General features: G+C 34.1%; 1 protein-coding gene across 2 annotated transcripts; it reads right to left on the bottom strand.

The window, feature by feature from the left end:
* Window positions 1-1,085: 1,085 nt before the first annotated feature.
* On the bottom strand, window positions 1,086-13,445 carry SPINK6 (serine peptidase inhibitor Kazal type 6). Of its 2 annotated transcripts, NM_001195290.2 has the most exons (5): window positions 13,330-13,445; window positions 13,069-13,202; window positions 10,165-10,187; window positions 2,198-2,313; window positions 1,086-1,318 (listed from the first exon to the last, which is right to left on the bottom strand). In NM_001195290.2, the coding sequence occupies exons 2-5, from the start codon at window positions 13,124-13,126 to the stop codon at window positions 1,273-1,275; spliced, it is 243 nt and encodes an 80-aa protein (NP_001182219.1). In that variant the 5' UTR covers window positions 13,127-13,202; window positions 13,330-13,445; the 3' UTR covers window positions 1,086-1,272. The 2 variants fall into 2 exon arrangements, with proteins under 2 accessions (NP_001182219.1, NP_995313.2); NM_205841.4 differs by lacking the exon at window positions 13,330-13,445 and having other exon boundaries at window positions 13,069-13,181.
* Between the last annotated feature and the right edge of the window lie 8,382 nt (window positions 13,446-21,827).

The raw sequence follows: 21,827 nt of genomic DNA, 5'->3' as shown, positions 1-21,827 counted from the left end.
TCCAATATATGTATTTGGCCAATTTCTTCATCTCTGGGTCTTCCAATAAAAACTACTGGAACCAACTGATTTAGTACTGCAAATGGTTACCACCTTTCCCTAAGTATTTTTTATCCATATTAACATATTCTTCTTATTTTTTTCTAATAGCCCTTATAACCTTCTATCTTATTATACCATTTATTATTATATTTATTGTTTTAGTATATTTCTTCCTGTTGGAATTTAAACTTCATTAAATATTGAAGGGTCATTGGCCCGTCTCATTACCATCCACGCTGTATCCAAGGCACCTAGAACAGAATCTACCACAGAGTAGGCCCCAGTAAATATTTGTTGCTGGAGTGATGATTATTACATTGCAGCTAGAGATGTATTCTGTCTGAGTTTCCCCAGTAAGGTGTTATTTATAAAAGCATGCTTTACTACATGAAACGACTCAGAGAAAGAATTCTCAATACTTCCATGTGAATGTTCAGAATAAGATATATATGTATCAAACTGTGGATTTTCATAGGGTTGAGGCAGCTACATGGAGATTGAGCTTGTTATCAACAGAGCTGTGCTTTAACCTTCAGTCTTCTTTTAACTACAGCTGTTTTATTTGCCAAGTGACTGATTTTATTGAATATTCACCATTTATTGTATATTTTGTTACATTATATCTGGTATACCTTATGATACTGCTACTACAGAAAACCATACACTGTATGTCTTTAGAAATTATATAGTCCAAATTTTCCATTCCAGATGCCTAAAAAAATGGCCTGTAGAGAACAAATATTTTTCTTTTATATAACATGCTTTTTATGAAATTGGGAAGAATGAATATTATGTGATCTAATTAATGCTAGATATTTTAAGTAACTGTAAGCATAGCATATGGTCATGTTGTCAAAATCCTTCATTATAAACATGGAGATTCTAAGAATAAGAGAAAGGAAGGGATTTTCCTATGATCTCACAATGACTGGATGGTTAACTTAGATCAGGAAAATAGGTTTCTTGATCCAAGTTTATCCCAGTTCAATTATTCTCTGTTGTATGTATATATTTTCTTGATCTCAAAGTAAGAACACAGTCAATGCTTTTGCAGAATGTACTTTATTGACAAGTGAATCAAGAGAAATAGACATACATTGAACTCCTCAAGACCCAGGCAGAGTAGGTATGTCTTTATGAATTAAAGGAATCCACCAGCAAAAGTATAAGCAGAAGTGAGAAAAGAAGGCTGCAAAAGCTGGCAAGTCACCAAGAAACATTGGCTTTAACTCAGCATTTTCCAGGATGCTTTAGGCTAATCTTTCCACCACTTTTCCTACAAAAAAGAAAGACAAATATATACTCAGTGCAATATCGTAAGTACTCACCATAGAAGTTCTAAACATATTTAACAATGGCATGGTCCATTTAATTATTTGATTCTATAAATTCCATTTATATGATTCAGAAGATGTTAATTAAATGCACTCAGAGGTTACATCTGGCCTAGCTGTGGAAAGTATGAATCTTAAACAAATTTCAGAGTTATCATAAGTCTTAGACTTTTTGGTACCAATTGCTCATTCTCCAAGAGTAAATATGTATACCATTGAAAAAGGTAGAGGTCACAGGAGAAATAATGACAAAGGGACTATAGTTTTTTTCTGACAGAAGATGTAAGAAGTTGAAACAGATATTCAGGCGTTTGACATTTTAGAGCAGGTGACACATTCAAGCCCTCTCAGTAATATGCATCTATTAATTCAAATCTCATATTACACCACTGACTTTCTCCTGAGAAAAGTTTGGTATTAATTAGTCAGATGTGTTATATATAAGTGTAGACATATGTTCATTATGTATTGATATTGCAAATTCTAATTAGAAACAAATGAAAACATTAAAACATATCAAAATTATTAAATATAATAAGTTATAATGTATAAGATGTGTGAATGTTTTTGAAAACTTGTCTAAGACAATAAAAATTAATAATAACAAAGCAAAGCGATTAAGATTATGTCTTCAAATAATTTAGTATGTAATGTTTTTGTTGCTTTTGACCCATCTGTTTTCAATCAAATTGCCTGAAGCTTGTTTCTTCAGTCTCTATGGGGAGGTATGGGTGTTTTCTATAATACCTCGAAAAAGTGTCTTAGTCTTATTATGGAAGTTTGTGTTTGCAAGGGTCAGCTTTGATGAATATAATACTTACACTATGGCCTTACAGAAGGCACATTTATTGCCATATGTCTGGCCATCAGAGCCACAGTGTGGGTTAGATTCCCGAGTGCAGTAGACCTTGGGGTCCTGGAACTCACCACAGTCAACCTACCAAAGTAAGCAGAGTGACATTGACATCAGTGCATTCTAAGAGACCATCCTTCAGAACAGAAGCTTTAGACAGCAAACTTTAAAAACCATATATAAATAGTTGTGACATAAAGCATTCTGAAATATAAAATAGCTCTCCTTATCTGATGTATTCTACTTACCTACTTAAGTAGAATACATTAAATATACTTGAGACATTTTCTTTGAGTCACAGGAAACTCATTACAAGGAATACAGATTGTATTCAGGAGTAAATTAATGATGTAGTCAAATGCTATATGGGTAAAACTTTTTGCTCCAACATTAAACTATTCCAATTGAGAGTGGTTTTCGGTCATGAAACGACTTTTTAAACATCATATTAATGTGCTCTAACAGTACTCCTGTATTGCTATCAAAACATGGATGGGCTGGGCGCGGTGGCTCAAGCCTGTAATCCCAGCAGTTTGGGAGGCCGAGGCGGGCGGATCACGAGGTCAGGAGATGGAGACCATCCTGGCTAACACGATGAAATGCCGTCTCTACTAAAAATACAAAAAAAAATTAGCCGGGTGTGGTGGCGGGCACCTCGGGAGGCTGAGGCAGGAGAATGGCATGAACCTGGGAGACGGAGCTTGCAGTGAGCCCAGATCGCGCCACCGCACTCCAGCCTGGGCGACAGACTGAGACGCCGTCAAACAAAAACAAAAACAAAAACAAACAAACAAAAAACATGGATGAACCTTACAAGGGGCACTGGACATCACCTGATGCTTGTTACTTTTCCCTGTGGATGCAATATCCATCCATAAGCTCTTGAAAACAAAATTCTAATGTGTTTATGTATATACACATAAACTAATATATATAGGATATGTATATATAAAGTATATCAAGTATATATATACTCTATCTCTAAAGTATATAGATACTAAATATATCACTTATATACACATAAACTAATCTATATAGGATATGTATATATAAAGTGTATCTCTAAAGTACATATATACTCTTATCTCTAAAGCATATAGATACTAAATATATCTACTTATGTATATTATAAATATATATTTATATACTAAATATATATACTTTAGAGATAGTCTTGCTATGTTGCTATATATATAAAATATATAATATAATATATAAATATATACAATATATACTTTATATAAAATGTATAAATATATAGTTTATATAAAATATATAAACTATATATTGTATAAATATATAGTTTATATAAAATATATATTATATAAATATATAAATATATATATTTATATTATATATAATATATAATATATAATATAAATATATATTATATATTATATAAAATATATTTATATAATATATAATATATATTATATAAATATATAAATATATACTTATATAAAATATATACTTTATATATATAAAATATATACTTTATATATATATATATATAAAAAATATGTATTTTAGAGATAGAGTCTTCCTCTGTTGCCCTAGCTAGTCTCAAACTCTTGGCCTCAAGACATCTTCCCACCTCAGCCTTCCAAGTCACTAAGATTATAGGTGCATCTATGTCTTTTTATTACCTTACCCTGTTTCAGAGTCTGTGGAATTTGAACTTTTGTGCTTACTACAATCATTTAGTAATGGCTGCCTAAGTTGCTGTGTTTAAAATGATTCTAAGGTTGCACTATTGTTGAGAACATATGTTATGACTGATTAATAATTATTATTATGGGCTCCATAGTAGGAATGGTAGCACCTTTGCCACTAACATATCCTTTCAACTATAGCTGTTTTTCAAAAGTAGTCTGGAGTTTTAAGATTGTTTTCAACACAATGTCAAGTCCATATTTGGTGTGTAAATGACATTTGAGCCATTATTTCAAGAGTAATGACAAGCAATAGGTTAAGCTGAACCCCTCCAAATATATCTGTGTGGAATGAAGTGACACTTACATATGGAGAGAGGAAACTTGCTTTCTCTCTGTCTAAAATGATACTGTCTTGTGTTTATCAATTGCTTCAAAATATTCCAGCTACTTTCACACAGATTATCTCAGTTGAGCCTAGCACAACTGAACCCACACCCAAGTATTTTCTTCCTCTGCCCCGTGGAAGAAGACTAGGAAGAGCAAAGCATTTCAATAAATGAAAGCAAATCAATCAAGTGGCATATGAACAAACTTCCATAGAACAGATAAATATCATACTCTTAAATTTTAGTGGCCTTCAATGATCTCTGAAGTAAGCTGAGAATCGTGTTTTAGAACCTGTTCCGCCATTGACTGTCTGTGTTATCTTGAACAACGGACTCGATGCCTGCACCTCAATTTTCTTAACCAAGAAACAACAAGGAACACATGTCATGCCTAATTTTCAGATTCCCAAGGTTTTTATAAGGAACAAATGTGGTCATATAAAAGTTGTAGAGAACTAATATAGAATATTTGAAATAGTTCTGGGTTAGGAGTGTAGAAAGTAACCTTATTACAGGTCTATGCTAACTACAGTAGCTCTAAAAGATCTCTGTAACTCATAGAAAATCATCAACACCATGAGATTAAATGGTATCCTGGGACTCTTCTAGCTTTGATGGTTCAAGATTTATCAATGAATACTTTCAGTGATGTGTTTTAAATAAAGCTGTTATGTCCTTAACTTCAGCTGGATAAGAGAAATAGCAACTTTTACCCAAATACTTCCTCCTTTAATTTTAGAGAGCCTTCTAAACTCACTCTATGAGACATTTTAATATGGTGGCTGGGCAGGAGAGGACCACTCTCTCTGGGCCCCAGGGGTTGGAGAAGGTGCAAATTGCTTCTGGAAATTTGAGCTTATATGGTCATTAAGTCAACTAAAGACTCAGGATTATTCATATTTAAGTCTAGTGTTTTAGGTTTACAGATAAAACCAATGAAAATTTGCAATCACACAAACATAGATTTGGGATATATAATGGCATCTCTTCTGTCTATTACTGACAAACACTACCTATGTGGTTAAATAATTTCCATTCTTTACCATATCTGTTGTCCTAATTGCTACCAAGCTTGGCTTCCCCTCACCCTTATTTCCCTCCCCTTTCTACTCTACTGAAACTGCTTTCAAAAATACAGAATACATCTATTGGTTGTTTTAAAACTTTTATGATTTCCTCATGACATATGCTACTCTTGATCACTCCAACCTTTTTGAAACTCTTTCCAGACTTTCATTATATGTTGGTTCTCTGGTCGTCTGTTTCTTCTCTCTCTTGCTGTCTTTTCTTTTTTACTCCTGAATATTAATTATGGTCATTTCCTAGATAGTTTAATATACTTGGTTTTCTCTTCCTAATGACATATAATTTCCCATATGGTACTGAAAAATCCCAGAATATTTTTCATAGATTTTTTATAAATATCTCAAACTCTAACTCTCAATGGTCAAATACATACATATATATGTATGCAGAAACACATACATATATATGTATGCAGAAACACATACATATATATGTATGCAGAAACACATACATATATATGTATGCAGAAACACATACATATATATGTATGCAGAAACACATACATATATATGTATGCAGAAACACATATATATGTATGCAGAAACACATACATATATATGTATGCAGAAACATACATATATATGTATGCAGAAACACATACATATATATGTATGCAGAAATACATACGTATGCATGCAGAAATACATATGCATGCAGAAATACATATGCATGCAGAAATACATATGCATGCAGAAATACATATGCATGCAGAAATACATACATATGTATGCAGAAATAAATGTAAACATACATACATATGTGCATACATACATGTAAACATGCATACATATATGCATACATACATATACATACATATATGCATACATACGTTTGTGCATGCGTACATGCGTACATACATGTATACATACGTGTATATGTATACATACATACGTACGTATGTATGTATACATATATATGAAACCTTTTACTCAATTTCATTCATACTTAAGACATTTATGTGCAAAGTACAACTCTTTTCTTTCAAACTAGTTTTGTATTCTGTTTTTTCCATTTTTCCATTTTTTCCATTTTTCATGATAGCAGCATTTTTTAGATTCTCCAACCCTCCCTCAGATGGAAACATTGCCATTTATTTTCCCTTGTGTTACCTTCTGCATTGCTTTACCTCATTTTCTTTGCCAGTTCCAAATTTACTGCCTATACCAGTTCTCAACATTTCTTGTCTGGACTAATAAAATAAGTTTTTATCTCCTTAATTTCGGCTGGGTGAGAGAAATAGCTACTTTTGCACAAATACTTCCTCCTTTAATTTTAGATAGCCTCTAAACTCACTGTGTGAGACATTTTAACATGGTCTCTTCCTCATTTTCCTCCTAATTTCAAATCTTTCCTGCATGTGGACACAAGTTATCTTATTTGAAACTAATATACTTATCATATTATTTGCTTAAGTGAGAATAGTAATCACTACCTTATATTTGCTTAAGAAATTGTACTGCTCAAAGCTCTTTCACATTCACTACACAATGGCCCTCTATTGCTGATTAAAAACAGTATGCAGCCACGGAAAGCTCACTCCAGATGGAGTCAGGAGTCTTGAAGTGTTGACTTTGCAGCTTTACTGCTGTTGGTAGATGTAAGTCAGCTAGACCTCGTTTCTGAGGCTTTAGTTTTTCAATTTGTAATTAAGTTATAGGTACTAGATAACATTTCCAAATTTTATTTAGACATTTTGTCAGTATATTAATTTTAAGCAAAATCAAGCTAATTAGGAAAAATGAAAAACTTCAAACTCATTAGAGTCATGGAGCATTGTTTTACCAATTGTATGAAAATTCACCAATTCTTATCTTAAAATACAAGCAAAAATAAACTTAAGTATTTCAAAAAGTATTGTAACAGAAAATGGTTGCCAATCATTGCTTTTAAAAGGCTTGTTCTGGTTATTTCATTTCGAACTATTCATCTAAACAGCTCTTTAAGGATAAGGTTCCCAAATACAGAGCCTGATAGGAAAATATAAAAATATTAAAGGCAATGCAGTAAGTGATTCAAAAAGCAAAATGTATTCAGTCAAAGGACTATCTTTATTCTGAAAATGTGTCTTTTAAACATTTTGGCGCTATACAACAAATTACTTAATGAAACGCTAGTGATGACAAATAGTAGTTTTATTTTACTCTTATTGTTATTATTGTGCCATTTAATCTATCTCCTTGGCAAATTAAAGAGTTGTCAGCATATTAGTCATTTACATTTACAGGGAAAATTTTACTGGAATATGATTTCCAAAAGTCTGGCAACATGATTTTGTTTAGCTTGAATAATCTTTTCAAATTAATGTGATATTTTTTGAAGTCCATAATTCAGACTGCTAACTATAATTTCCCATCAGTTGTCTCATCATGTAGAGAATTCTTGGCATGAGAAGAATTACTTCAGTGTTGGAGGAAATCTTACTTCCTTTTGTCCTGGCTGGATCAGACTTGAGCAAGCATGCTCCTAATGATAGTTTCAATGTCTTCTGCTGGCATTGAAACTTCCACCCTCCCTCCAGGCATGCAAAAGAGAAATGGCAGCCTCAGTACCATTTAAAAGTATAGGAGCTTCCCTGTCATTTATATTTGAGTGGAGAAGAGACAGCAGCCTTGGCAGGACAGGCTTGGTTGATAACAATTCAGACAGTTAGGGCAGGAAGGGGCTTCAGAGATCATTGAATTCAAATCTTCATCTTAGTAATGTGGAAACAAAGGCAATGAGAAGGGAAACCACATTTTTCAAGTCATACAGCAAGTAAGTATGAATGAGGACTCCACTCATCTATATTATCTGACTCCAGAGCCAATGCTTCCCAATACAGTTTGCCTCCTCTTACCTAGGGAAAAATGCTCAGTTTTCTTATGTATAAATGTCATCTGGATAATTATTTAAAATGCAGACTCAAACTCCCTACCTTTCTGATTATTATTCAATGTCTTGCATGATGCCTGGGGATCTGTATATTTAGTAAGCAATCCAGGTAATCATGAAGCAAGCAAACTATAAGACTTTGGCCCATCTAAAGCATAAAATCAGTAAGTAGTAAAATTTAAATGAACTTTAGAAAACACTCTGCAGTGGCACAATCTTGGCTCACTGCACCTCCACCTCCTGGGCTCAGGGGATTCTCCTGCCTCAGCCTCCCAAGTAGCTGGGACTGCAGGTACTCCACCACGCCTGGCTAATTTTTATATTTTTAGTAGAGATGGGGTTTCACCATGTTAGCCAGGCTGGTCTCTAACTCCTGGCCTCAGGTGATCTGCCCACCTCGGCCTCCCCAAGTGCTGGGATTACAGGCATGAGGCACCGTGCCCGGCCCTTCAGTAGGTTTTAAGGAGACCCCAGCCTTCCTTCTCCCTTTTTGGGCCTGAGCAGCTATACTTTGCCATCTCTCCCAGCCACACACCCCGCCAAGTACTACGCAGGGACCCCCACCCAGGGGCCCTGCTCCATGAGATAATGTGAAATATGTCTGTGGACCAAATGCAATAAAACCTCTGTTTGTAAGAAAAAAAATCTGAGAAATCAACGTTCAAAGAAGGGAAGTAACGTGTGTGTTAATGAGAAAACTAGGATTAAATTCCATATTTCTTAATTCTATGAGTAATGGTTTTACTATATTTTACTACCTAATGAGATACGAAATGTGTTGGCTGGGTGTTATGTCCTTTCCTTGTGTGTTTGTTTTCATGTTTAGTATAGACCATACTATCATGCTTATTTAAACATAATAATACAACTTGAAGGTATACAGTTTCATATGACAATGCCAACACACATGTGTGCATGTGTTAGACATACACCTAAAGTGCACATGCATGTACACACACACACACACACACACAAATGCATCATCATTTGTAAGATGCATCCTAATTTCTGAGATGCTAAAATTTAAAAAACTAACATTCTTATATAATGCAGTGGGTATATCAGGGTTGGAAAATATTTCCAATGGCTTTGCCAACTCCAATTAGTTAGCAGTAGTGTCTAGAAATTTTCATGTCAAAGGTATAACAAGGCACGCCAAGGCTAAACAAGAACTAGTGCCAAGACCAAGTAGAAATGCTTAATATGGACAAAGGAACAGGATTGGCAGAACAAATAGTACTTGTGTTGTCCTTTGACAGTTAAAATGAAAAAGATAGAAAGACATTGGTGAACTAATTTGGAGGAAAAAAAAATCCAATGATGAAGATAACTTGTGCTCATTCCAGTTTTTAAACCAAATATTATTAAAATTTGAGTGAATCAGTCTGTATATCCTCATTACAGAGCAGTAAACTAGTTTCTTATCTACTTTCAGTTCTTATTTCTGAAAAAGAAATAATAACTTATATCCTAACTTCTTCAGAGGATGTTAATTTTTAATCGATAACTAATACATATATAGCCTTTAATGGCTTGCCAAATACTTTCACATTGTTTAAATAATTTAAATATAATTGCAATTCTATGAAGTGAATATTATCCCTTTTCTATAGTTGTGGAACTTGCAGCTCAGAGAAGTTGAGTAACTTCCCCAAGATCACACAGTGAAATCAATGATAGAGCATGAATTTTATCCCAGATACATCCTATTTTTTATTTATATTTATTCTTCCCTAAAAAATTATGAGAATGTGTGGTTAGGTTCTTTTAAACTGACAAGAGTTTAGTTAAAGAATAATAATTTCTGCTGATGTCTGCATAAGGTTTGCCTGCTCATTGTTTTTGCTCTGTTAACCATAGACAAATTTCTTTTTGGCCAGTGAAGATCAAGCCAAGCACCACCCAGGCAGAAAGCAGAGATAAAAATAGGCACTGACCTGTCCTCCCTGACTGAAGACACCTGAAAGAAAAGCACAACATTCAAACACTGTAATTCATTGATGTACAAAAAGTGAAATTTTCAACATTAGGAAATTCCTAATATCTACTCCTGGTACTTGGCTATCTTAAAAAGTCATCGTATTTTTTTTGTTTGTTTTTGTTTTCTTCTTCTTCTTCTTTTTTTTTTTAATCTGCTCACTTCTTAAGAAGGTCATATAAAGACATGAACCATGAGGAGGTAACAATTGTTGGAGGTTAGGGTGGGGTAGAAAAAAAATGGATTAAGGATCTGGAAATTCATGTTACAGTCCTAGCCCAGTCACTAATTTACTACGAAAATGACCTTATCATCGCTGGTCTCACTGTGGAGAAGTTGAATTGGAAAGTATCCTCTACCTTTGACATTTCAAGGTTCATTTCATGCAGTTCCTCCCAAAAGCCTTTGCCACAGGCAGTTGGGAAAGAGATTAAGCTTGTAGTTTGTTCTTTGAGTTTGAAATTGCTCAACTTTTAAAACTTGGCCCAAATATAAACTGGTAAGGAACAACTCATTCATTCTTGTGACTTATTTCTCCTTTTACATCTCTCTAAATTCCTAAAAAGGGAAAAGATCCCATATATATAGTCTTGTTTCTCTCCCTTTTCCTTTCTCTTAATATTGTATGTGTAATTTTAGTTTGTGTGACTAATTAGTTCAGTGGTTTAAAATACTTAAATAATAAAATCCCTCAATCCAGTCTTGGAATGGGCTGCTGAGTTTTGATGTGTGGCCATTCCTATGGGACTCCTTTCCCAATCCCTCTGACACATAAGCCCAAGAGCACTGCAATGAGAGAGAGTGTGGGTTAGCGGAATCCATCTCCAATGATGGCCAACACTTATGGGATAACAACCGGAAATTCCTTAAAGCACAATCTCTAATAATAAAGATAAGGAGAAAACAAGCTGTTGTTTTTTAATTTGAAAGAAGGTTACTGTTCATTTTTTCAGCAGTGATTACCAGCCTTATTGATTTATAACTAGCAATATGGGTGATTATTAAAATGACAAATTCTTAGGGCAATCACTTAAAAATTCTATTATATAAAACCAGAGAGTTCCTGGACAGTCCATATTTTTTAAAGACTCTAAGTGGTTTTTATAGCCAGGGATATTTTATTATTAGAATTTTCAGTAAGTCTCCACTGTACAAATCTGTCATCAAAAGAGGAGAGATTTGCCTAATGTCTCATACGTAGGAATTGGCAAGGCAAAAACAGGATTAATATTCACAATGACGGAGTCCAATTTAGTACTCTTTTTATTAAACTTTATTATGGCAATAATGTTAATAGACATTTGTTAAACATGCACTATACCCCATCCACTATGTTAAGCATTGTACATGCCTTTTTCTCATTTAATTCTCCACACAGAGATAGTCCTTTATATGTTTATTTTATATATAAGTGAAATAAACATCAGAGAGTTCACAAAGCTATAAAATGAAAGTGCCAGGGCTAAAATTCACTTTACTCTGTTTCAGCATTAAGGCCCTTAGGCATTATGGCCTCCCAAATACTATCTAGTATGTCTGTGAAGCATCCATGCTTTGGTAAACTGTATTAGTCAACCAGATCCTGTTAAAGATCAATTCACCTTTGTAAAGAGAAGAAAAGGAAATAACAATTGATTTCTGAGACTATCTTTGCAGCTAAACTTTACATAGTCAGATATATATTTTTCTGCCATCTCAGCAACTGATTGAACTACCCATTAAGGTTATTTGGCTTTAGTAGTCAAGCTTACTCCATAATATCACAGGAATCCTTTACCCATTTTTTTTGTATTTCTAAGTGTATTTGTTTTTGTAATTATGACCAGCTACAGTGAACACTGGCTTCTCTATCAGCTAAATCTCATTGATTTTTTTTTTACTTGTACATCCATTTAAAATCTTGCATAGTAGTAAAATTCATCTGCTACTGTCACACAAAATGATACATAAGATATGGAAGGTCCCAGGGCTTAGTTTTATTTCTATTATTTTACAAATGACAAAATATCTCAGAAAATTATGTTATTTCTTTAAGTGACACAGGCCATTAATAGAAGAGATGAAACTAGGTCTTAGGTCTAAAAACTAGCATTTGCTTTGTGCCCTACAACGTGAAAGAGTAGAATAATAAGGAAGAAAATAGCTTATGATGGACCTGCTCATTCCGATGGTTCTGTCTTAAAAAACATAACCTTGAAGTATGATTGTGCTTTGAACCTCACTAAAGTGTCCAAAGATATTCTCCTTCTCTAAGATTATTTAGCTCACCAGAAACATATGTTTCTGCATTCTAAGTTTCAATTACATATTTTCAAAGATTTTTCTCATTGAGTTTCCAATTTCCCCATTGTCTTAATTTAATTATTTGAATGTCTTTGTAATAATAACTAAGGGGAGGAAAATATTTCTTTGTTCTGGAAAGCAAAACCAATATTTAATGCAATTATCCATCCTCCAATCTAGTTTTATGGAACAAACATTAAATGTGATGGCAAGAGAATCTGATTCAAATTCCAGATTCTAACTACTAGTTGCAAGTCTTTTGCTGATTTTCTCAATTTCTCTGTTCCACAGTTTCTTATATGAAGAACAGAGATAGAAATACCTTATTATGAGTCTCAGAGACAATACATAAAATCCCTTCGTACATGCCTAGAATATAGTATATGCTCAACAAATCACAGTAATTTTAATAATTATTACCATAACCATTGTCGTCATCACAATCATTATCATCATTATGATAATCTCTCAGAATTGGTCTTTTACATCAAAATCATTAGGATTTAAAATATGATAAACAACTACTCATCATATCCAGTTCAGTATAAATATGGGATCTTAATTTTAAGAAAAAACTTACCTGTTAAAAAGCAGAAAAGAGCCAGAGAGAGGAGCAGAAACATGCCTGACAGTTTCATTGTGTCAGTTAGCTCACTCAGATCAAGGCTGCTTTGTCCAGCTGAGGTTCTCTGTCAAGACAATTCCCAGAAAGCCCTAAAATACATTCAGACCACATGAGTCCTATGCAGTTTATGCATTTAATGGGGCCTGCCAACACATTAAAAAAATGCTTCATGCTCCCCATCAATCTTAAAAATTGGGACAATTATGTGTGTCGCACCTCAGATCTTATTAATAGAGAATGTCATTTTCTACTGGTAGCCTACATTTTCCTAACAACCAATACATCCTCCCGGCTCTTCTTTCTAAAGTTTCACTACATTATAGGGATGATTCACTGGTTGACTTCCACTTGATTCTTATATTTCTTTCAGACAGGTCCTACATGTCTGTGGTCCAAGTGAGTAACCACAGGATAATGGAATCTTGGGTGTAACTTGGATTTTTAGAGTCCAGATCATCCAAGGTGTACCTAAAGGAGACAGATATTCCACACTGTAGCTAGAACTGCATTAGAAGAAGCATTTTCTGAGCAGGAATCAGCTTATTAATTTTTAAATCATTATAGCAGTCAAATGCCAGTGGTTGTCCAGTTTTGAGTCAAAATAAATAGGGAAGTCAATTATTTTCTTTAATTTGTAACAAAAATTTGTTTTTTAAAGTTACTGAATTTAATTTTCTTTTTTTTTTTTCTTTCTTTTTTTTTTTTTTTTTTGAGATGGAGTCTTTCTCTGTTGCCCAGGCTGGAGTGCAGTGGTGCAATCTTAGCTTACTGCAGTCTCTGCCTCCCGGGTTCAAGCGATTCTCCTGCCTCAGCCTCCCGAGTAGCTGGGACTACAGGTGCCTGCCACCATGCCTGGCTAATTTTTGTATTCTTAGTAGAGACGGGGTTTCACCATGTTGGCCAGGCTGGTCTCAAACTCCTGACCTCATGATCCGCCTGCCTCGGCCTTCCAAAGTGCTGGGATTATAGGCGTGAACCACTGTGCCTGGCCTGAATTGAATTTTTGAAATGAGCAATATATTTCCTTTTACTTTTCATATAAAAGTTAGATGAATCACATTATCTTTCATGGCCAATTTAATTGCAAGATAGATCAAAGAGTGCGATGCCACAACCTTCTTTCAGGAAACAGCAACAAAAAAGAATGGTTGTAGTGATAACAAGAACGTCTACCTCAAATCATAAACTGCTATTGAAAATATCATGAGGGAAATCATCTTAAAGTCCTTTACAGAAAGATGTAGGTCAGATGTTAAAAGTATTCAAAGACACTACTGAAAAACCTTAAAAACTATATTTAAAATTTTCTTGAATCCTTTATGGGAAGAGGAGTCAAAATAGCTAGAAAAACAAAATATATGGGAAATTGCTTAAGTCATGAAATTTAAAAACAACAGTTGTACAATTTACCCATTTGTGATCTTTAAGTATGTTTTCTCATTCATATGAGATAATATAAAGATCAGTTCCTAAAACTAAAGCATTGCATAGCATGGTTTTAGGTACTGCTGTGACCTTCCTCCCTCTTTCCATTCTACTTCCTATGTTTCTTCCTTCTTTGACCACCTTTTTTTCCCTCCTTCTGTGACTAGAATGTACAGAATTAGTCTAATAATAATCATGTCCAAAAGTGACAAAAGTTTGAAAGCATAAACAAATAGTAATAAAAAAAATCAACATAACAGTGGTAGTCGATCATATGCCATCATTAAATTCACGGTGATGTTTCTAAACTTCCTGTTTAAACTTCTTCCTCTCTCCCCAGAGTTTCATTTTTGGTCCTTGCTTCTCATATTCACCTCTACACTCTCAGTCACTGTTCACCTAAATATTACCATCTCCCTATCTTCCAGTCTTTCCTTCCCTGCTTTCCTCTGATCTTCAAGAGTTCTTTTTTAATAGGTGATTTTTTAATAGAATTATTCTTATTTAGAATGACTCTGTCCTCTTTTTCAGAATGTTTTCAATTCTCTATCCTCAACATTTACACTACCTACCACAAAAACGCTTAGGAACATGAAAGCACATATTAAGTATTGGCTCTGGATAGACATAGGGAAGGAAATATTATATCATAAATATATATAGTTTAAGAAAGAATCTGGTCCCTAATGATTGAATTATCCTTTTTCTTAGGTTTCTGAGGCCATATGAAAGTTTTTGGTTTTGTTTTAATACAACCTAAAGGAAAAGGTAAGAAACATTCTCTGGGAAATCACTTAATTGGCTCTTTAAATAAGAAGGTGAAATACTAGAAGTTAATAAATTAAAGGCAATTATTCACAGACTACATAAAATTATAGTCGTTTGGCTGCATAGCAAGTAAAAGACAGTAGTTTGAACTTTGTTTTAATTAATTCCCTGAAGAAAAATAGGAAAAGTTTTAAAAATCTTAACATTAAAGAATAAGTAAATGTCAATATACTGAATCAGGCAAAAGCAAAAAAGAAACAAAAAATAAAAGAAAGGGAGATGTGGGAGAATGCAGTAGAAGCAATGACTCTTATATAGACATACTAGAATGCAGTCCCAACATACGTACAGTGGTCTTCCAAAATATAGCTATGCATACATTTTTATGTAAAGACACAAACCCTGTAAGAATATATTTTCAATGTAAAATTTATTATATAAACATTATACATTTATTAAAAAATTACTATTCATGGTAGCATATAAAATCATCTGCATTTCATTTAATACACATGCAAGAGAATTTAAGGTAAATTTTAATTCTGTCATTTTTTGCTGCCAACTATATATATAATATTATTTCATTTATTGAAATGCAGCTTCATTGCTTTCAGAATGCTTAGCTCTGAATCCAAGGAGATACATATATCTGTGCCTGTGTGTTTTCACATTTTACTTGTTCATATACATTTTCCTTTTCCCACCATTGCTTATATATATTGTAAAATGTATTATTTTGAAATGTCATTTCTCAGACAGCTATGTACTCTATTTTCTCTCAAACCCCTGAACCCTTCCACCATTTAGCATAGGGCATGAAATAGAGGCTTTTTTTGTTAAATAAAAAAAGGACAGCCACCACTTTAATCCAAGAAAGCATTAATCAAGGAAGTCAGTCCTTGCCATTGAATTATAAAGTGATCTTTGTTAACATCCTTAGCTGTACAATAGACTAAAGTCAAGCATTTTTCATTTGCAACTATCCAATCTTTATTCAGAGTGAAGATTGTTTTTCTTAGAACTTCCATTGGACCACTTAGGAAAAGAGGAGAACTGTTTCCTAGGACTAAGAGGAGGGGTTCGGGAAGAGAAGAAAAAGGGGGTTTTCGAGCTTAGACTTCATCGTCCTGGTTTAGTTCAAATTCCTTGGCTGTTGGAGGCATCTAAAGCATTAGTCAGCATATCATGGGTAAAACAGAGTGGGCAGTATCGAGGAAGATATCCAAGTATTTGGACTTTATAGCAGTCTTACAGGAGTCTGTCATGTTGCAATGAAGATCAGAAAAAGCAGCTGAAATCCATAGTCCCCAAGATAGCCAAGTGCTGGGAGGGCTCAAGAACAAGAAGGGTTTTTATTTCAGAACAAGGGACTTTGAGTTAAGAGACATTACAATTGATAGCTTGATGGGGGGAATCATATAACTCAGAAGAGTATGATAACACATGAAACAGATAACAGGGAGCTGGGTAATGGAGAACCAGGCCCTCTATGATACAGTGACCATAGGAGTTTTATTACACTGCAAAAATTCCTGGAGAGATAAAAGTCAATATCTAGGGACCAACTGGTAAGAAATACCTCACCAGGTGCCAATGTCATGTAAATGTCATGAAGTTATGTAAGCTTTGTCCTGGATTCAAATGTTATATTTGGGGGGAAAAAAGGGAATAAAAAGGGAGAACCAGAGAGACACACTAAATTTGTAAAATGTGAGTGCTTAGTGGGAAAGATTTTTTTTTCATTGTGGTATCTGTTGTACTTTCAACCATGCTTAGCAATTAATAGCCATTCAGAAAATCTTTGTTGAATGACTGAGATTGAAATACCTTTAATTAATAACATATTTTCTGATATTACACTGAAATGAAGATAACAAACATAAACATTTTATTTTTGACACTTATAAATCTTACCTTATATAAAATTTGATCTATTCTACTTGATGGATTAGATTCAATTATTATTAAATGTTTTGGCAGAAAAAAACAAAACATAGATTCTTTGATTGTCATCTTAGAAAACATTTACTTCAATCTTCCACTCAATATTTAAAAATGACCTAAAGTTCTACTGAGAAATACACATTGTGGTTCTGTGATAGATTAGAATGAACACAGACTTTGAGTCCAGATAGATGTGGGGTGTCCATTCTACTTCTGCCAAATCTCTATGATATGGGGGATGTTAATTAACCTTTCTGAATTTTAGTATTCTTAACAAGAGCAGGTTTCTGGGTTATTTTCATACATCATATGCCTATTTCACTGACATTCTTTGATTATAAGCACTTTTAGTTTTTAACTAAACTTTGCATTCAGTCCCTCAAGATTGCTCAGGCTTGACAGTGTCTTCAATTTAGCAATCCTTTCCACCTTTGTATCAACTGAAAATTTAATAAGTATGTCTTCTATGTCATTGTCTTCTATGTCATTAATAAGTATATCATCTATGTCATTGCAAAAGTGCTGAACAAAGCAAGCTCAAAGATATTTCACCAACTTATTTCCAAGTTACTCTACTGAAATCAATATTCATATATTGTATGGCATGGTATCAAGCTTCTCATCCTTGTGAAATACAATGAAGGAAGTTTGGCATGACTTGCTTGTAATGAATTTATGTGGACTACCAATTATCCTCACCTTCTTTCCTAAATGCTCATATTATCATATGTCCTGCTCTTCCCCATCATAGACTCTATACCTCTTCCAAAATAAGCTCTTCCTCATTTCTCATTTATTTTCATTACATATCTATTTGCCTACCTGAACTTACAGTGTTGCCTTTGCCTGGGATGTTATTTTCTTTAATCATTATATCTCTCAATTCTATATATCAAACAATAAAAAGTCCAAATTATGTTACTCTTCACAGAGCATTTCTTTATCCTCCAAGGCAGACATTCTAAACTGGTAGCATAGAGACAAACTCAGGCTTGTTAATAAATTTTATTTAGCCTATGCTGTGGTTTTAAATGTTTTTCTAAATAATCTACAGCTTTTTAATTTGAATATTTAAGAAAAATAAGCCAGGTGCGGTGGGTCACACCTGTCATCCTAGTACTTCGGGAGGCTGAGGCGGGTGGATCACTTGAGGTCAGGAGTTTGAGACCACCCTGGCCAACATGAAAAAAATCCATCTTTACTAAAAATACAGAAGAATTAGCTGGCTATGGTGGTGCACACCTGTAATCCCAGCTACTTGGGAGGCTGAGACACAAAAATCGCTTGAACCCGGGAGGCAGAGGTTGCAATAAGCTGAGATTGTGCCACTATACTCCAGCCTGGGTAACAGAGTGAGACTGTATCTCAAAAAAACAAAAGAAAGAAAAAAGAAAAATAGAAGTAAAACAGAAGATTTTTCTGAAAATATTTGGGCACTTCATTGCCATGGCAAACGTCAGCTGGAGTTTAGTGGTACATGCCTCATTTAAATATGCTCTTATTTCACTCTTTTGCCCCTCTTATTGTTGGCCCTTGGAGGCATTTGAGTTTGAGAATCCTGCCCTTTGACACTAATAATACTTCTTAATTCTCAGAATATATGTATTTACTTTTCTTGTGAAACTGTTCTACATTATAAAATTATGCCTATATGGTATCTCCTCTATTTGTCTACATGCTCTTTATGAGCAGAATCTGTACCTTATTAATCTTTAATTTTTCAAATTTTCATCTAATATTTAGCAATTACTGCATAAATATTTATTCAAAGAATATGATTAAAAAATAATTACCACTATATGATTATCAGGGATTATTAGTAACTATTCTGACATTTTCCAAAATTTATCTTCTTACTTATTTTAAACATGTAGATATTTGCCCATCTCTAGTTTTCTGTCATTGCTTTCGTTTCTTCAATTTCTTACTGATATATTTTAACACAGTTGCAGTCTCACTTGGGAATCTCTATATTCTTATCTGTTTCCTAAGGAGATAAAAGGAAAAATTTCTAATACTCACTGGCTCTTGCACGAGAGTACATTTCACTAAGTACATAATTGGAAGTTAGTTTTTCCAATTTGTAGATTATCGAGTGACAGTTCTCTCTCTGTCCAATTCATATAAACTGTGTTATTCATCACTTCTGCTCCACAATTTATTCTCCTTTCAGATCCCTTTTCACCAGGATCAAAGCAATCTACATTTCTCTAAATTACGTTTGCTACAATGGAAATCAAACTACATCACAAAGTATAGTTTGCAATATAAAACTTTTGAAAGTTAACAGATATTATAAATATTAATAAAGCATTAAGTAGTTTATATTTCATTCAAAATCTCTTCTTAATTTGCTTTCTTTTTTATGTTTTTGGATATTTCTTCTTAAATTCATTTATTAAAGTTGGATTTTGTACATGTGTTTTGTGGTAGGTCTCCTCAAATCTCTTTGCTTTTCAGTTTTAGTGTTTTAGCTTAACGTTAATTCAGAGAATTATTCAGGAGGAGATTAGTTTAGCATAGCCTTAAGAACATGACAAAAGGATGCCATGATCCCTAGGTTTAGAAAAAACTAGGTCACAGTGACTTTGTTTTCTTCGTTGACAGTGTAACTAGACTGATGGTATAAGGTATCTGCAGATACGACGGATTTGAACATCAGCAAGGCATTAGATAAGCTCTCGTGCTGTCTTTGTAAACGGATAAAGATACATGGGTAGACTACTACACCTGACTGAACAACTGAACAAAAAAGTGCCGATAGATTAATTAATATAACCAAGAGGAATAGAATCTTGTCCCAGTCAGTATGTTTATAACTAACCTAAATGATGATATATAAAGCATGCCACAAATACAAAATCAGAGCTCTGTTTTCCTCTCTTTTTGTGGTTCATTTTCTTGACATACATAGAAAGCCATTAATCAAGTTTCATCTTGTTCATTTTGACTCATCATCATTTTTAATATATAAAGATCTTTTTGACTCTTGACATAGAATCACACCCTCACTGATTGCATCCGAATTTGGATTTTAAAAATGAATATTTAAAAAATAAGATTATTTAAAAGATCAAAGAGAGTGAGAGTTACAAGGTAATCCAAAACTGGGTGCAGTGGCTCATGCCTGTAATCCCAATACTTTGGGAGCTCGAGGCAGGCAGATTGCTTGAGGTCAGGAGTTCGAGACCAGCCTGGCCAACATGGTGAAAGCCCATCTCTACTAAAAATACAAAAAAAAAAAAAAAATTAGCCAGGCTTGGTGGCAAGCATCTGTAATCTCAGCTACTCAGAAGGCTGAGGCAGGAGACTCCCTTGAGTCCAGGAGGTGGAGGTTGCAATGAGCCAAGATCACACCACTGCACTCCAGCCTGGGCAACAGAGGAAGACACCATCTCAAAAAAAAAAAAAAAAAGAGTTTCGGTGGGATTTCTGTGTATATACCAAAAATACTTGAAAAGGAGTCTCAAAGAAATATTTGTTCATATATATTCATAGTAGCGTTATTTACAGTAGCTAAAATGTAGAAGCAACTCAAGTGTCTTTCAACAGATAAATGGATAAGCAAAATGTGAAAATAATGTGTATATATACCACATTTATATATACTTGTTATTATATATATGTTTCTATACACACACGCATATTTATGCAGAGAAAAATGCAATATTATTCAGCTCTAAAAAGGAAGGAAGTTCTTACATATTCTATAACATGGATGAATCTTGAGGACAGTATGCTAGGCGAAATAAACCAGTCACAATAAGACAAATTTTGTATTATTCCACTTTTATGAAGTACTCAGAATGGTCAAAATTAGGGAGACAGAAAGTATCATGGTAGTTTCCAGGGCCTGGGGAAAGTGGGTAATGCAGGTTATTGTTTAATAGGTATAGAGTTTCAGTTGAGGAAGACGTAGTATAATAGTTCTGGAAATGGATGGTAGTGATAGCTGCACACACAACGAACACACTTAATGCCACTGAACTGTTGAACTGGACACTTAAAAATGATTAAGATAGTGAATACTAAGTTATGTGCATTTTGTCATATTAAAAACTTTTTTTTTTTTTTGAGACAGAGTCTCGCTCTTGTCGCCCAGGCTGGCATGCAATGGCGTGATCTCAGTTCACTGCAAGCTCCGCTTCCCAGGTTCAAGCAATTCTCCTGCGTCAGCCTCCCAGAGTAGCTGGGATTACAGGCACCCGCCACCATGTCCAGCTAATTTTTTTGTATTTTTAGTTGAGACAGGGTTTCATCACGTTGGCCAGGCTGGTCTTGAACTCCTGACCTCAGGTGATCCACCCGCCTCGGCCTCCCAAAGTGCTGGGATTACAGGCATGAGCCACCATGCCCGGCCTAAAAACAAATTTTTTAAAAGGTCCAGGTTAGATAATGGGGAAAGTGTTCAAAGAATCAAGCTAAATTCTATTAATAATTCTGTGGTCATTTATCTCCCTCTTCTTAGAACTTTTATAAATTTGTTCCACAGAGGTGAATACTAAGTTGCTCTGTTACATTATTTACTGACTGATTCATGCTTAGTCTATAGCATGAGATTATAATGATCTTAAAGC

Source organism: Homo sapiens, chromosome 5 (assembly GCF_000001405.40).
Source record: "Homo sapiens chromosome 5, GRCh38.p14 Primary Assembly".
Taxonomy (NCBI): domain Eukaryota; kingdom Metazoa; phylum Chordata; class Mammalia; order Primates; family Hominidae; genus Homo; species Homo sapiens.
This window is presented reverse-complemented; position numbering and strand designations above follow the sequence as displayed.